Source organism: Homo sapiens, chromosome 4 (genome assembly GCF_000001405.40).
Source record: "Homo sapiens chromosome 4, GRCh38.p14 Primary Assembly".
Taxonomy (NCBI): domain Eukaryota; kingdom Metazoa; phylum Chordata; class Mammalia; order Primates; family Hominidae; genus Homo; species Homo sapiens.
The window spans coordinates 141,635,706-141,654,486 of record NC_000004.12 but is presented as its reverse complement, the minus strand read 5'-3'; the positions used below and the strand labels follow the sequence as shown (position 1 = coordinate 141,654,486).

Sequence of the window (18,781 nt, the reverse complement as noted above, 5' to 3'; positions counted from 1 at the left end):
GACCAAGTGACTTGCTCTGACCAGCAAGACACTCTAGGAACTGATAAGCATTTCCTTTAAAAATTTGAAGATTCTATACAGAGTTGTAGTGAACAATGAAATTCATTGTTCCAGCTGACAGCTCATAGCTGAGCCCCTCCTGATAAATGCTTTCAATGGAAGAAAGCTCTCCCTTCCAGGAATCTGGCCTGCTTCCCTTCCAGGAATCTGGCCTGCTTCCCTTCCAGAGCTGTAACATCCCCAAAGGGCCATCCTGCCTCTAGAGGGCTCCCTGTTGGATCCAGTGAGGCCACTGTTCCAACTGCATCACAGTCCAACTTCTCCCTCTGCCCACCCTGTTTTGATCTGCCCTTACTTCCATCAGGTGTTGTTCCTTAGAACATGCCCCAGTAAGCCTCTCGCATGTATATTTCCATCTCAGTCTGCTTCCCAAGAACCTGACCTAAAACAATAGTGTATTCCATTCCTTGAGAAAATGTGAGGTCAGGAAACACTTGGATTACATCGAAGCAGATTATTGCAAGATTTCTTTTAATTTGACAGTATGCACTATAAACATCAACAAATACCCAGAGTTAATCAAAGTTATTTAACTATAGAACCCTTTTGGATATTGAACATCTCATGAGACTTGTGTTCTATGGAATATGGGCTGGGAAACAGGAATGCAGTCACTCTAGCTCACTTTAGAATATCAGTGTTGAAATTACTCATGTGAATATTTCCTGTAATAGCAAAAGAATGGAAAAAACCTAAATGTCCATCAGTAGGGTACTGCTTAAGTAAATTATAATACATGCATGCAATGTAATATTATACATCCATAGAAAAGAATGGGAAGTTTTTTTTAATATTAGCATGAACATATATCCAAGGTGTATTTTTAAAGTAAAAAGAAAAAGGTAACTCGACAGTGTGTATTTGTTTTCAGAAAGGGGGATGGTTAAATATATACGTGCATTTTTGTGTGTCTGCACAAAACATTTGCAAGGACATACACTAGAAAATGATAGCACTGGTTGCATCTATAGAAGGGAATTGGAAAGCGCTTTGAAACTTTTGAAGTTTAAACCATGGTAATGTATTATCCACTCATAAAATTAAAATCAAAATACCACAAAATATTATGTAGCACAGATTTAAATATTTTGTCTAATCATATATGAAGAAAATTTGGGAAAAAACTATGACATTCTCCATAAAGCTGCTTAGAAGATGAACTCCTGGAAGACAAAATTCATTTAGAATGCCCAAAGCATGGCACAGTTTCTGAACCAAAGGAGGCTGTAAATAATTTTTTTAATTGAATTATCCTTCATCATAAAAATCAGCCAATTGTTACTAAACAATTTTCCAGTGGTGCCTCTTTAGATAATTGTTTAACTATTAAAATGTATCCTGTAATTTATAAGAGCCATTTTTTGACACCAGTCTCTATGTGATCACTCAGTGCTGCCACAGAAGACATACCTTGTCTGTTTGAGCACAAAATACCAGATGAGAATTTGTAATGATGCACATTTCTTATTACCTGCTGATAATAACGTATTCGGTGAAAATGACACCTAATGATATAGTACATCTCCCACTCACAAATAACTGGATTCAAATATTGCTACTGCTTCTCACCAATCCCTTATAGAAGCAAAGAGATGCGATTACCATAATCCTCAGGAATAACACTTAAAATTAAATTTAAAAATCTAGGAACAGCTAATCTTTTACTAAGCACAAATGCACATTAGACCACAAATCCTCCAGTACTCTTTCTCCAGACAGTTTCTCTAGGCTTGGCTGCCATTCTTCTAATTGTTTATTATTCTTGCTGATTAGACCTCTGGCATCTCTTGTTCCAAATACTTAGCTTCACATGAAATGTATCACGTGATTTAGCCTGAGCATTGGATCTCTGTAGCAGTCCCAAACGTCTTGTTTCTAAAACATTGCTTTCTGGCCTACTTTCTGACAAGTAAACTAACCTTCTCAAGTCTATATAAAAAAGCAATAGTGCTTATAAAACTGCTAAGGGGGAGGTCGTCTCTATTAATAAAGTTTATTTGGCAACTAGCAGTGTTTGGACTCCTGAGCTCTAATGTGGTCAATGTGGTTGCTTTTTTCTCCCTAGATTGGACAGCAGAACTTATCTTTTATAGCACTGCTGGTTCTTCCTTCTCCACTTGGGCTGTACAAATTATCTGAGACAGAGCTAACAGAGATCCTGTCCTCACAATAGGAGAATAGTCCGTTTTAGTACTTTATCTCCTCTTTCACTGGCCTCATTAACTATTCTTATCTAAATGGTTGTTATCAAAACTATTATTATAAATAGATTGCCATTCTTGTCTTCTTTATAATTTTTGCTTTTCATTTTTTCTGCTTTATATTACTTCTCCTATGCCTTTCAGCTTTTGTCTAAGGAAAATGGTTTTTGTAGACATCAAACACTTGGCATGCCTCATCCCTTCTGTGGGATTACAGATTTGTCACAATCTTTAAGATTTTGACCCTTTCTGCTGGGTGTACTTGCTACAGGTTTCCCAAGATGGCTGCATTTTTTGTAGTCTAAGATGTCGGATTTCTTTGGAGGGTTTTATTGGCAGTGGCAGAGTGAAAGATGAAGGGGTACAGAAGGTAGAAGTGAGTAACTTTTTTCTTGCTCCAGAGCAATCCCTGAGTAACTAAGCCTGCATTATTAACTTACATGACCAAATTATTCATAAAATTAATTTTTGATAAATACGGAGTGAGAACAAAGAAAATTGAAAAATCTTACCGAATATATATGTATATCATCCGGGTTGGAATACAATATAGAAAATTATCTCTATTCAGTTATAAAACATACTTCTAGGAAACTAACATTAAATGTGGTCCATGTGGTGGGACCACAACATTCATTTAAAAAAATAAAATGTAAGGCATACAAAGGCAGTTTTGTTACATGGCTATACTGCATAGAGGTAAAGTCTGGGCTATTAGTGTAACCATCACCAGAATAATGTACATTGTACAATTAAGTAATCTCTCATCCCTCAACCTCTTTCCATCCTCCAAACCTTTTGGATTCTCCAATGACTATTATTCCACATTCTATGTCCATGTGTACACATCACTTAGCCCCCACTTCTAAGTGACAATATACCACATTTGACTTTCTGTTTTGATTTGTTTCACTTGAGATAATGGCCTCCAATTCCGTCATGTTGCTGCAAAAGACGTGATTTTAATATTTTTATGGCTGAATAGTATTTCATTGTGTATGTGTATATATATGTGTTTATATATATGTATATATATAGATGGTGTGTGTGTATATATATATATGGTGTGTATATATACACACACGCACACTGTGGAATCTCTTTGGATGTGTTGTGTAAATAATGGTGGAAGTGTTCATCTATTCTTTTATTATACTCCATACAGACTACCATCATTCCCATCTATTCATCATTAACATATTACAATTTCCAAAACTATAGTTCATGTAAAATTGAGATTGAGAACTTCTTGATGAAATGTGGAGCTTTCCTAATCTTACCAGAACCATGGAATGGACTGGGGTCTAGAGACTTGGACCCTAGGCTTGATTCTGCCTTTAAACAGCTATGTGACACTAGCAAGGTACTTTATGTCTTTAAGTGTCAGTTACCTTGTCTTTAAAATACGGAGATTAGACTGGAGGTGTCTAAAGTCCCTTCCAGTGCCTAAGTAACATCTATAAAGATGACAGGTTGAAAATCTCAGCATATGATAGAATCCATCCATGTTATGTTGGTTTCCTGAACCACCAGATTCAACACCAAAGGGATTTTCTCTGGTCTAATTATCTTAATTTTCAAGAAGAGAATAATAAGTGCAGAGAAATTAAATGTATTGTTCAATTTTACATAAAGAGGTTAAATTGAAATTTAGCAATGTGTTTTGGATCCCTCCTTTAATTCTTCACCAGAAGTTCATTCAGTTACCATAGCACAAAGCATATGCTATGCATTGTGCTGCTTCTCCATATTAACTTCAATTTCAAAAGGGCTCTGCTTCATCCATAAAATCCATGATAACAGTATGTTTGGGGCTTGCACCTCCATATGTATTGACTATATCTAAAGCGCAGTTACTAGTAGACATTGAGGGATTTTTTCATCTCACAGCTTAGATCTAACTATCCTACACCATCATTGGTACCACCCAAATTCTACTATATTGTAATTTGCTCCATTCCATTATGTCCAAATAGCTACATTCTGGGTCAGAACAATAAATTAAGCATCCTAGTTACAATTTTCTGTGACAACTCCATTTCATCCTGGCTCACTGTAGTTCAATTATCACCTCTACCTTGGAGGAGTAGGAAGATGGGAGTTTCACCATCTCCTTGCACCAATGGCTAATCCACCACTTTTGCTTTTATACTGCTTGGCACATAGGTAAACACTCAATACAAATGAATGGTGATTATTATTTTTGTCTTCATCACTTTACTGAATAGTTGTGCCAACACTGGCATCCTCATCGTCTCCCAAAATGTAAAACAAAAAATGTTTTTCTGAGCCCTGTATTAAATTTGTTGTTTACTATAGATTTTTCATAGATATACTTTAGTCAGTTTTGGAAAATCCAATCTATTTTTATTCTTCTCAGAACTTGACACTAACTTTTCCTATATCCTTAAGATTATTTTGATAGATTTTCTGATGTTGAGCCATCCAGACAATCCTCAAATAAACCATATTTAATTGCAGCAAGCGTGCTCCTACTGGGGAAGGTTGTGTTGCTGGTTTGTTTTACTGTTGTGTTATGTTAGCTAATGCTTTATTTACTATTGAAAAATGTTATTGATTTTTAAAAATCTTTGGTCTGGCAACTTTTCTGAGCTCTCCCATTTGTTTTAGTAGCTTGTTAATTTGTATGGCTTTCATCTATAAATAATGAAAATTTCACCTCCTCTCTTTTAATCTTTATAATTCTTATTAATTGCACCAGCAAGGTAGCACCCTCTATAGGAAGTGTGCATGCTTGAGAGAGAAACCTGAGTTCAAGCTCCAGTTCCACCACTTCCTACTGGTAGTCCCTGCACCAGTCACCACACTTCCTGGTGCTTCAGTTTACTTATCTGAAAAGTGGGAAGGAAAGTATCTCATGAGTTTGAGAATGCTACATATGTTAACGTACTTGGGACTATGGGTGAAAATAAATGTTAACTATTGAAATATTTATGGAATGAAGTTAAGAATGAAAGACACCTAACCCAACTTTGGACATTTAGGACAATATTCCCAGAGAAGGCATTATCAGACTGAGATTTCTGGACCAGGCGAGTCAGGAGAAGGGGGCACGGAAGAGATACTGGATGAAGTAGTGCATTCCAATGAGAGAAACATGTCAAAATATTTGGCTATGAAAGGAAGTGTGTTGTGTTTAGGGGCAGAGAGTAGTTCAGTATCCTGGACACTCAGCTGTTTACATGCAAACAATAATTGTTCCACGAGACAATAAGTTCCTAAAGAGAATCAAATGTGCTGCGTCTTTTTATCCTTCACAGCACTTGGCAGGGAGCCATGTACAGAGAAAGTGATCAATAAATATCCACTATTGTTTAGAACTTTTGGTGTGCTGTTAGCCTCTTTGGTTTAAACACCTTAGCCTGGAAGCCATGCTTTATAAGTTGCAGCGGCTCAGAGTAATATGGTTTGACTTAAGAAAGGCCAAGGTTTAGAAGATGAATGCCTCAATATCAAGTCAAATAAGCCATCAGCATAATCACATCTTTCCAGTTTTAGAGGTTCTTTACAAGGATCTTGCTTTTCAGGAGTAGAATCTAAAGATACCAAATACAGATTTTAATCTGATATTTGAGGTAACTGCAAATTTTTTTAACAGCATAACAAGAGAAGAAACCATATTTCTTCTCTTAAACCCTCAGGAGAAGAGACACTAAATAAATTAAACTTCCGCAATACTATTATTTTCACACAATTTCTCTCATCTTTTTTGTCCTACTGAAATAACTTCTCAAAATACTCGGCAAATAAAATAAAGAAAATGAAAGGATTTCTGTTTGAAGGAATTTAGAGAATAAGATGTGCCTTGTTTTAATTTCCTTTCATTTACTGAAGCATTTACTTTGCAAATTTATAAAATTATCCCCTCTATAATAAAACTGGCACAAAATATTAAACAAACGTATTTGTTTTCAGTTCTCTAAAACTCATACTCCTAATAAGGAAGTTAAAGATTCTATTTGTAACCTGGCCCAAAGTACATCCCCAGAAAATTCTATTTCCCTTCCTGACCCTGATAATAGGAAATATGCTGTGAATAGTTTCCCAAAAGCCATGTGATCACCAGTAATATACTATGAGTCAAATATGGTCAAACTCCTTTTCTCAGAACCTGATCTAACTTGACCCCTCAGGAATATATGTTGGATCATTGACAACAAGAATAACATTATTATAGCTCTACTATGTGCCAGACAAGGTGTTAGACACATAAGAATGCAGTGTTTCTCAAACTTCAGCCCTTCCAACTCCACCATCACAATTCTTCTCATCTATGACCTTTATCATTTACCTGCCGGAGAGGCAATATGAACACAGATAAATACAGTGAAACACTGCAGATACTATGAGAGAAGTATCTATCAGGTGGAGAACACACAAAGGAAAGGTGTCAGGCAAGACAGGAGGTAAAGATAGTGTCTCGCCAGGAAAACGTCACAGAGAAAGTGAGTCTTTAAAGATGATCCCTATGTAAGAATAAGCATATGAGGGATTAAAATCCCTCTAGAGAGCAGCAGACAGAGCAAGTATGACAGGAAGGCAAGGTCTAGGAGGTGTAAAAAGCCTAGCCTTCTCTTTTGAAGACCTGGGAGCTGGTCAATTCCTCCTCGAAGGCCTTCCCGAATATCTCCTCTTTCAGGGTGCTTAGCTCAGTGACAGTCCCTCTAGTTGTCTTATGTGACCCTAAGCCATCTATATATACATTTGCCTCCTGGGGAAATATCCTGACCATTTGTTTTAACCAATAATTCTTTACTTAATTCACAAACCCAAATCTTGTACAAATAGCTTATCCAATCTTCAATCCAGTACTTCTAATCACTTACAGGACATTTTAAGTAGTTTATTCCACTTTTAACTCAATCGTGATATTTCCAAAATCAAGTTCATCCATTCCCCTACCTTGCCCCATGTGTTAGCTGTAATATATATCTGTTCCTAACATGTTTATCTTTCCTGACTCTCATGGTTAAAATCTTCGGCATTCTCTGACTCTTCGCTGTGCTCTGCTCCTCCCACTCAATCAAGACCAGTCAAGTATTTAGGAAAGTCCCCAGCCCATATTAGGCACTCAAAATTATTAACTGCTGAAGTGCCAAAATCAATTCAATGAATAAATAGAACACTGGTATATCAAATCTTCCTTGAAATTAGCTTGTCTTTCTATTCTCCATTCTATTTGCAGTACCCTACTACTTAGCATTCATTAATCCATTCATTCCCTCATTCATTTTTGTTTTAAATATTGCTTTAAATACTCAAGCAAATATTTGTTGAGAGACTACCATATGCCTAGCACTAATAGGTGATGGGAATATAGCAATGAATAAAATAACAAAACTGCATGTTCTCCTGTGGTTCATATTCTAATGAAGGGAGATGTTAATAATCAAATAATTCAATAAAACATACAAGTCCATAGTCCCTTATATGAAAATATTAAATCAAAAAAGCTCCAAAAACTGAAAGTTTCTCCTTAATTCACTGATTAACAAAACACAAGCTGAACTAACATTAGACTATGTGTAAGCTGTATTTATTCCCTTTTGAGGAAGTACCTGAATAAGCTTGGTCGTTACATGATATATAGTAAACACACTATATTACTTTCCAAAATCTGAAAAATAATCTGAATTCCCAAACAGGGTTGGGACAGGGAGTGCTGGTGAGGCTGCAATTTGAAGTACATCAGTCAAGGATTACTTCATTGCAACAGGGATATTTGAGACAAACCCCAAAGCAGGTATGGGGAAGGGGGTGATATCTGAGAGAAAAGCATTCTAGGAAGAAGGAACAGCAAGGTAAAAGACTCTTAGACAAGAACATAGTAGTATGGTTGGTGAATAGAAAAGGTGCCAGTGTAACTGACTCAGTGAGCTAAGGGAAGAGTAGCAGATGGCAGACATCAGGGGTACAAATCACTTAAGAGACTTAATATCCACTGTAACAGAATTTGGCTTTTATTAGAGTGAGATGGGAGAACCATGTGGGGTTTGGAATAGAGGAGTAGCATAACCTGATTAATATTTTAACCGGATTACCCTTTGTGGTGGATAATCTCCAAAGACAGCTGCCATCAGTCAGTGCCTTCCCCCCATGAACATGCATGACACTCTACTAATCAAAAGGTGGAATCTATGTCGTCTCCCCTTCAATCTGGGTGGCCTTCTGACTTGCTTTTCCCAAAAGAATAAAACAAATGTTAAAGTCTGGAAATTCCATATCCAAGCCTTAAGTGATTACAGCTCCAACTTCCTCTCTTATAGAAGTTGGCCAAGTTGTGAAGAGTCTGACAACCCTGAAACTACCGTGCTGTGAGAAAGTCCAGTTTAGCCATGTGGAAAGACTAAGTGGAGGAGAACCAAGGAGCCCAGACAACAGCCAGAACTGAGGCTCTATATGTGTGACTTAATGTCTGAGCCATCTCAGACATCCCTTGACCATTGAGTCATACCATCTGAGGCCACATACATTGCAGTGTAGAGACAAGTCATTCTCTTTGTGTTTTGTCCTAATTCTTAGGCTTGAGAAAATAAAATGGTTCTTATTTTATACCACTAAGTGTTGGGGTAGTCTATTATATGGAAATTAGTAATTGACATTGAAACTACTATGAGACTGAGTGGTGGGAAGACACCTGGAGAGAGGCAAGGACCCTGTTAGTGAAGGCTAGAAATGCAGTGACGAAATAGTTCAACCTAAGACTTGCTAGATTGGAAAATAACACCTATTCTCATTCTTGCCTTTCCAGGCAGCAAAAGATTCTCCAAGAAATAAGTAGTTTCAGGGCAAAGATCAAATCCAGGCTCTACTATTACATGTGCTCTCAGGTTGGAGATCAAATCAGGTGTGTGGCATGGAGGCCCTTCATTAAGAACTCTGAAAGATTTAAAATGATGTCTCACAGACCTTGCCAACTAGTCAAAAGGCTTCTAAAAATGGTAAGGGTTTCTATGGCACCTTGACTTCCCAAAAAATTAAAGTGGAACTTGTCTCAAGGATTTTCTGGTTATGTCTTTTATCTAACGGAGTGAATGAATCTCAATAAAATTCATAGGAAGCCCCCCGAATTCTAAATATCATTGAACTTAAAAACAAAAAGCAGTTAAACAAAAGTGAGTATATAAAAGGTCTCTAAATTATTAACCCTCTAACATCAGAAAGCAGGCTACGCCACTGCAAAGAATAGCAAAAATTATTTCTCATAGAAAAGAAAGAAAGAATGAGAAAAGGAGCCCAAAGTGCAAAAGATGAAGTTAAGAGCCACAGAGGATCACTCCTAGGGAACAAATTTAAACCTTAATCCGGAACATGTATTGCTTCCAGAGCAAGAACTTGGGATATATGCCGGCTCTATTTAGACTTGCTATGGACTAGCAACTGTTATATGCCTTCTATTGTCTTGTTTTGAAATGGTATTTTTTTAAAGCAATTGTCCTATTTTTGTTTTACCATTGTATGTTGGGACAAGGGGAAGGTCACAGATAACCTATCTTTTTAGCTACAGGTTGCTGCACTCAAGAAACTACATCAGAGAAATATCATCCTCATCTGGAGATCCAGTTTAGAGACTTAAAGTCTGAGTTTGATGCCATAACGAGATAAGCTATGGGGGATCCTGAAAGTCAATAATTAGTTAAATGATACAACTACTTGAGGCCAACATTATGTAAAGTCCAAGTTAGTCATGTATAGGGGTCACATACGGAGAGATGGATGCTTGGCCAGCCATGAGCTTTCCAGCTATCCAAGCTGATGTTCTAGACATGTGAAGGAAGATGCTTTCTTGAATGTCTCATCTCCAGCAGCCTAGGAGGAGTCAAGCAGCCGAAAGTAGCCCAGATTACAAGATCACGATAAATAACAAATTATTGTTATTCAAGTCACTAAGTTCTGGGGGTGTTGTTTTGTTTTGTTCTTGTTTTATGGCTGTTGATCCTTTAGATGCAGGGACAGGTAACCAAAACACTGTGGCTGCTATGTTGAGAACAGGCTGGAGTGGAGATAAGGGGACAAGCAGCAGGCACTTTTGCAATAATACTGTGAGACATGATAGCAACTTGAACCCAGGTGACAGCACTGAAAAAAAGGGTGAGAAGAGATAGGATGTAGGGTATATTTTGAAGGCCTAGCTAAATAATTTGGTGGCAGATTCAACGTGGAATATGACATAAAGAGACGTTAAGGACAAACCCAAGATAGATTGATTGATTATCTATGGAACTAAGAGAATGAAATTGACATCAGGTAAGATGAGGAAGAAGGTGGAGCAAGCAGATATGGCAGTAAAGGCAGGAATCCAGTGAGTATTAGACATCCAATCAGAGATGGTTGAATAACAGCTAAATAGACTGCTAAATGAGTCTGGAGTTCAGGGGAGAGGTCATGGCTAGATTCACCCGTACATTTGTGAATCATCAATGTAAGAAGGGATTAAAAACCATGACACTAGATGAGATCACCAAGACAGAGAGTACAGATAGAGAACAGGCCTAAGGACTGAGCCCTCAGACAGCTATATTTACATGTTAGGGAAATTAGGAACTAGACAGAGACTGAAATTGTTGCTGGTAAGGTAAAAGGAGACTGAAATTGTTGCTGGTATGGTAAAAGGAAAATAAGGAGAAGGGGAGTGGCTTGGAAGCCACATGAAGAACTCTCAGGTCCTGCTGAAAGGGTACATAGGAAGGGACCCAATAACTAACTACTGGATTTAATAAAAGGGATGTTCGTGGTACCTTTGACAAGTGTATTTCTAGTGGAGCAGTGGAGATGACAGCCTGGCTGGTTCAGGAGAGAAAGGAGAGAGGAAAACTGGAAACAGAGAATATAGTTAAGGTTGTAAGTTTTCCTGTAAAATGTGGGCAGAAAAAAGCAGATATAGAAGTGAGCAGAAACATGAGGAGAAAAACATGAGTCTTTTTTAAAAATGGCAGAAGTTATAGCATGGCTACATGGTATTGGGAAAGACCCATAAGAGACAGAGAAAAAAATGGTGATGGAGAGAAAGAATGAATTACTAGAGTTATGTCCTTGAGCAGATAATGAGAATGAAACTACACTCCTGAATTAACTGTGATGAATTTCTAGCTGGTTTCCTTATCTCTAATTGTCTTTTCTTCAATAAATTCTACCTCAAACTAATTTCCCTAAAATACTATTTTTATTACAGTATTCCAACATTGTTTTGCTATATTACTTATGTTTCCTACCTCTTTTACAGTTGTTTGCTTAGCTGTCAAACACTTGAAAGATGATTGACTCATGCTGAAGTCAATACAAATAGACTCTGACCAACCCTCTGCTAAGCACATGGAGCACATTGCCCTTACTCAAAATGTAAGTGTAGAGTCAGACACATAAAAATGAGTTTACAGACATTAAAGCTGTTATAAGGGAATGTAGACAGCACCAAATGAATTCATGTAAGGGAGAAAATAATTCTGCCTGGGCAGTAGGTGGGGACAGAAAAAGTTATAGAGGGTTAACATTTTGAGCAGGACCCATGAAGGCTGACAAAGAATGGCAAGTGTGTCTGGACACTGAGGCAAGGTGACTGCAGCTGAGGCTAGAAGAGGAGACTGCACTGCAGAGGCTATCCAAGCCCTACTAGAGCTTATTTCGCACTAGTCCCCAGTGGGAAACCTCTACAGAAGCTAGCCCAGGCTCTTTACTGCTCCCCATCCTACTCCCTGTACTTTGCTTTAAGCACAGTAACCCATGGTAATCCAGAAGCCAAAGGGAGGGTGTGGGAAAGAAGGCTGAACTATATATCCCAACTGAACAACACGCACCTCTGGCATACCCTACAACTTTCCCAGGGCTTTGTGGACATAGACGGTTCTAAAGGAACCAATTTCAAGATCCGTTACTTCCATAGGAGCCCCTTTTACCAGAGATATGCCTGATGTGTGCCCAAAGCAGGCAGATTTCTGGCAAGTTCTCCTTCCTCACTTCCTCTTTCATAATTACCCTTCTCCCACTTTAGGAAAAAAATGCCTATCTCTCCCTATCCAGAATCTTAACATGTGCCTTGCCTCACCAGGGTGCCAAATAAAGGGGCAATTTGAAAAGTTGATATAAGAGACATCTTTAATCAAAGCATTGACATATCTAGTTGTATGATATATATTTCCAATATTGTTTTAGTTTTTTTTTCAAGAGCACGTTATTATTTATTATTATTATTATTATTCTCCAATACAGGTTTTGTTTTCAAAACTCCACAAAACGTAGCGATATTCACACTTTTCAACAAAAATAATTTACATTCAAAGCACTGATGCAAGAAATTTCCTTAGCACTTAGCACCTTTCTAAGTTTCTAGAAGCTCGAAAACCACATTGCGGCTTTTTTTTTTTTAAATTATACTTTAAGTTCTAGGGTACATGTGCACAACGTGCAGGTTTGTTACATATGTATACATGCGCCATGTTGGTGTGCTGCACCCATTAACTCGTCATTTACATTAGGTATATCTCCTAATGCTATCCCTCCCCCCTCCCCCCACCCCATGACAGGCCCCGGTGTGTGATGTTCCCCTTCCTGTGTCCAGGTGTTCTCATTGTTCAATTCCCACCTATGAGTGAGAACATGCGGTGTTTGGTTTTTTGTCCTTGCAATAGTTTGCTGAGAATGATGGTTTCCAGCTTCATCCACGTCCCTACAAAGGACATGAACTCATCCTTTTTTATGGCTGCATAGTATTCTATGGTGTATATGTGCCACATTTTCTTAATTCAGTCTAACATTGATGGACATTTGGGTTGGTTCCAAGTCTTTGCTATTGTGAATAGTGCTGCAATAAACATGTGTCTTTACAGCAGCATGATTTATAATCCTTTGGGTATATATGTTTTAGTTTTATGCTTAATAATCACTTATCAAAAATTAATGGTTCCTTTGATTAATTTTATAATGATAGTGTTTTAAATAACATAAGCTAGAATAATTTTCACAACGAAAATCCTTCAAATAAAAAATCAAGTTTTATGTACTTATTTTTGTTGCAGATGAGTCAGGAAAATAGAAAATCTTTAACAGTAAAATGTTCAATTAAGAAAAAATCATTTGATAATTTTAGAGGTCAGTGCTAACAGTGTGCAAGGACTACTTTGTCAGATTTCTATTAGAAGGCACATAAGCAAAATACCCAGGAAGGAGAAGTAGCATTCAGTGATATAAGGGACCAAAGACCCTCTCTGGGCTCCTTTCGTGTGTCACAATGATAAGCAGAGCTTACCCCCACCACCACCGCCATCAACCTTACAACCATCATATTTTCCTGTTCTACAACCATTTTCAGTTTCAATTCCCTCATTTCACAAAATAATTTGTCACTTTCCTGATTTTGTCTGCACCCTGTCAGCACTTGGAGGAACTATTAGCATTTAGAGAAGAAACAACTGTGTATTACATGCAGACTTTTTAAAAATCCATTTTTATACGGTCTACATAGAGTCTTCTGCCCCTGCAGTGGGATGAAACACTATAAAATAAATGCATACAAATACCCTGGCTCTGGATGTGAAATGTGGACAAATAATATTATTGAACTAAACTGAGATTAAAGAGCCTCTTTTTCTCCTCTTTCTGACTCCAGCACTAAACAACTTTTTTTTTTGTTTGTTTAAAAAAGGGCAATATTCTTTGACATAGGCAAATTCATAAATAGCATTAAATCACCCCAAATGGTGACCAGGGTCTATTTCAAGGTAAGGATAGCAGCATTTTAGTTGTCAGTACACTGAACACCTGAGTTTTCTTAGAAGAGAATGCATATGATATCCGAAAAGGAGCATTAACATTAGAATCAAGATAAATCTCAGTGGAGTGTCTGTCTTACCTAGTTGTGTCCTAATGCAAGCAAAACTCTGCATGTCTTTTTTTTTTTTTCTTTGTAAATTCAGGATAAAAATGCAATGGTTATTCAAATTCAATGAGGACATACAGATGAAGTGCCAGTATGGTGGCTGAAACATAGCAGAGGCTTCCTCTTTGAAACTTTCAAATTCACATTAGGTTCCTACTGGAATGGCACTGTTAATAACAATAATTTGTCCTTCAGGCTTTCTGTCAAGATTTCTTAGCTTCTTATGTTTATATATTCAATACAGTCTGGAAGCTGAGTAAAAAGTAAACCTTGTCTGCCCACAGCTGTTAACAAATAGTACAGTACAATATATACATACACACACATATATGCACATACACAGTATATATACACATATAGTCATATATGCACACATATAGACATATAGTTGATAGTATTTAATTAGTGAAATTTACCATCAAATAGGTGTTAGTGCATTCCAGTACTCACTAAAATAACAATTTTTCCTTCAACTCCTCTATGGAATTTTTCCATCCAACCCATTCCTATAGGACAGCAGCAAGTATTTAAGCAATGTTCAGTGTCAGTAGTCTCATGCAGTTACTGTAATCAACGGGTAAGTAAATCAAAGAGCTAATATCGAGCAAAAGAAGTGGCTTCTTGCCAAACCTTCTACCATAATGCCTTCTGAAGAGAGGATGTCCCAAATAGTTAACTATATCATCTCCAGTTGGGATATTATGGGAAACTCTTCTTCTCTGACCTCTCCATGAATCCCAGACTTCTAGTTGTATGGAAGAAGGGATACATAGATAGGCAGAGACAGATATCTAGATCAATCCACATTTGCCTACTATTTGTCAGGCTCTTTCAGCAGAAAGTGATGCAGATTAGACAAATGTTTTCATTCAGGGACCATAAAGGAAATTTCTCCAATATACCAAACACATATTTGACACTCAAATGAATATTATTTGATTATAAAGATAATCTTTAAATATATAATAATGTCAATTGCACAAGTACCATACAAACATTACTTTAAAACCGGCATTCTACCATTACAACGCTGCCTGAAAATAAGTAGGGATTATCACTGTCAAATTGTACGAAATATTTGTATGCAAATAATACCATCCTCCATAAATACCACCAGTCTTAAACTTGTCTCAGTTGGAATTCCAACTCTACCACTTTCTAGCTCTGTGACCTTGATAATTTCCTCAGCTGTAAAATATATTGCCTACCACATAAGTTTATTACGATGTTTTTAAAAAATACATCCTTAGAACAATGTCTGATACATAATAAGAACTCAACAATGTTAGTTATTATTCATACTGTTTCTCATAACTTAAGTTATAGGTCTGAAGACAGAACTCTGTATTATGATCAGCTAACCTTCAGAAAAATAGTTAACACAATGAGCAGAACTCAACATTAAACTCCAGGAGAGATGAGGGGAAAAGGACAGTAGTCTATATTTTCAAAAGATTTAAAACTCTTTTGGGTCAGAGACCCATTTAAAAAGCTGATCAAAGTTACGGATATTTTCCTGAGAAAAATCCACATGTACCCAGCATTTCAGGGCTGCTCTTCTAGCTGTCCTGAAATTCATCAGAGGCAGCAAATCTGAGATGGAGTATCCCGTAGGCTTTAAAACCTTCCACTTCCAAAATCTATTTCGATAAACCTTAAACCACTGTTTTCTCCATCCCCCAAGGAAATTTATAAACATTGTGCCTTGCAATATAGCTGTTGACATTGGCTACATTAATTTCATGGATTAAAACAAAAGAGCATCATTTTAATCACCAGTAGTCTGCAGGAAAATTCCAACCAGAACTATAGCTTCCAATCAGGTTCTGGAGTTGCCACTCCAAATCAGCAAGGAACAGTGAAACCAAAAGTATGGGAACACCCTGCCTATCAGAAGTTCCAGACCAATGGTCAACTGACCCTTCTCTGTCACTGTTGCAAAGCAGATGATACTGCAGGAGAGACTTTTCTGATTGACTAAAATTCTGTGAGAATTTTACACGAATAAGGACCCGAAACTAAGACAATCATAACAAACCTTAAGATCTCTATGATACTTGTTAACTTTAAGCAAAACTAGCTTTTTCTTCACTTTTTAAATCTAAATGGCTTTTGCTGTATTTTCAGTTCTTCTCTTTATATGTCTTTATGTTCCTTCCCATGTATTTCCTTGCTCTGTTGGCCACATTACTTCACACGAAAACAACAGGAGTTTAAAAATTTAACCTGTATTATATCTTTTTTATTCATTTATTTATTTTTTGACAGGCTGGAGTGCAGTGGCAGATCATATAGCTCACTATAAACTGGAACTCCTGGTCTCAAGCTATCCTCTCGCCTCGGCCTTCCAAAAGTGTATTGTATCTTGATGCTTTCAGTAGAATGGTTCACCTTATAACCTCTACATGGCAGGATGCATAATCACCAGTTTATTCTGTAATACCTGAGCAAAAATTCAGCCTAGCTAATATGGCCTCTTTCACCACACTGACAAGATAAGGATGACGTCCACTTAGTTGGCCACCACCAGTATCATAATATTAGATAGTAGTTTAAAAATATATAATGGAAACTAGCTGGTGACCACCACTTTACTTCCAGTTTTGAAATTGCTGACTCATCCTATTTAAGAATCTGTTGTAAGCATCATTTAAGAATTAGTTTGGTTTAGACATACTTTGAAGTCAACATAGTTTTTAATGCATGGAATTACATAAAGTCAAATGAACTATATACCCTTGCTACATGCGGTCTTAATAACACTTGAAAAAATTGGCTGGATTTTCATTTAAAAGCCACCTTGAATAATGATTTTATTTCAGTGAAATTCGCTCGTATTTTTTCCAAGTTCCTTCGACATTCTAGATACACTATCGCTTCTCTAAGAGATAACTGGCTGGCGCAGAGTTGGAACCAATACAGACCCAGGCCTGACTGCCAAGCACTGACCATTCCTGCAAATTTCTCTCCCAGAAGACGTGTGCAAGCAAAGAAGAGGGCGATAATTTGATTTTGCAAAGGTAGGGATAGACGCGCACGCACAGACATCTGCACCGGCCCACAATGAGTTTGGGACGGGAGCAGTTAGGAAGTGGGGAGCTGCGGTACCTTTTCTTGGCCTTCCTGAGCTTGACTGGGTGCAGAACTCAGCCCTCAGGGCTGCGGGACAGCGTCTTCTCAGAAACCCGCAGCTTGGCTGGGGCCGCCAGACGCGCGTCCCTCACCCTCCCAGCGGAGCGCGGGGTGCCCGGCCCGCCTTGCGCTAGCCAGCAGCCTGGAACGCCGTAAGAGCGCAGCGCAGTAGGGAGTCGCACGCCAGGGGCAAAGGGACCTGCGATCTGCGCTCCTCCGGAAGCGGGAGGATGGCTAGGAGAGCCTCAGAAGTGTCATTAAAGGAAAAACCAAAAATTGAAGTTGCGGCTAAGTTTTCCCCATGAGAAGGCGGGGCAGCTCGGCCAGTAGGATAGACCGGAGGGTAACGCTGGAGCTGGGAGGGGCCCTGGGCGTAGGCTTTCGGGGAAAATTCCATCGCCCTTTCAACCACCACCACTCCCCTCCCAAGGCAAAGAAGCCGAGCTCTGTACCTCCATCGAGTCCTGGCTGCAGGGTGGGGGGCGACAGCCACCGCAGCCGGGAGGGTGCGGCCACCCAGTTCCCTCCCGGGGGGCGCCGGACTTCGAAGGCAGTGAGCGAGTCAGCTGGGATTCCCCCGGGCGCCTGCCACCCGGAGTCCCAACCCCTGGCGAAAAGAAAAGTGAAAGAGAAAGAGCCGGGAGCATAGGCGAAGACAAACACCTCCCGCGGAGACTGGGGGTGGGGCGGGTGGCGGCGGCTCCTGGATGACTGACTGCCCCAGGTGTCACTGCTTCCCGGCCTGTTTCCGTCCCTGCCGGGGCCTGGGGCGCAGAACTTGCAGGGCAAGCGCAAGGACATCGAGGAGCCCCAGCCCCGCCCTGCAGGAACACCAGCCACCGGTCTCCTCCTCTACCTGCCGGGACACCTGCAGAGAAGGCACAAGGATAGCCGCATCCCAAGCGACGGGCACCATGTGGGAAGCTTCCGCAGCTGAACCTGGAGACCCGGGCTGGGCTGGCGCGCATCCAAGTCTTCCTGAGGAAAGGGAAAAGGATGTCGGATCTGGATGCTGGGCGGCTACTCTAGACCGGCCTCTTGGTCCCCGCACAGGCTGCAAGAAGGAAACTTTGAAGTCCAACTAGGGGAAATGTTGGAAGAAGACACCCGGGTGGCAGCTTTGTGCAAGACAGTTGGTACAGGGAGTGAACTTAGAGCAATGAGCCTCTCTGCGGATCACTTTTCCAGCCTATTGTGTAGTCCAGTGTAAAATATCACACATGGTCCCATTTGATGGAAGCGTGAGATGTTGTTCTTGTAGTATTTTTACATTGGAGGAAGGAACTGAGTTGAGGCTGAGTGATTTGCATGCCATAAAGGCAGTAGCAAAGATCTCACGCTTAGTTTTGAAAGTACTTTGCAGAATCTTGCACTCTTGTGAATCACTGAAAATCCCTCTTGTACGGTGCTTTCCAAATTTTCAGAGTCATGGTTCAGAGAAAATGATGTCTTCCTGGAGCGCAGTTTAATTTAGTTTAAAATTTAATTATGTTTT

The 18,781-nt window shown here is 39.0% G+C and overlaps 1 protein-coding gene across 3 annotated transcripts in view, besides 1 other annotated feature; it reads right to left on the bottom strand.

The window, feature by feature from the left end:
* IL15 (interleukin 15) overlaps positions 1–17,904 on the bottom strand; it is a 97,405-nt gene extending 79,501 nt beyond the window's left edge. For 2 of the 3 annotated variants that reach the window (NM_172175.3, NM_000585.5), the window contains exon 1: positions 17,739–17,904. The gene's annotated coding sequence lies outside the window, so the exon portion shown is untranslated. Of the gene's footprint in view, positions 1–17,262 lie in introns of all 3 variants that reach the window. The other variant, NR_037840.3, reaches the window with a different exon arrangement.
* Positions 17,902–17,991: an enhancer, noted in NCBI's record as "active region_21938". NCBI's record gives its function as "activates an Ori minimal core promoter by ATAC-STARR-seq in GM12878 lymphoblastoid cells {active_cell/tissue: GM12878}" and the evidence as "EXISTENCE:reporter gene assay evidence [ECO:0000049][PMID:35858748]".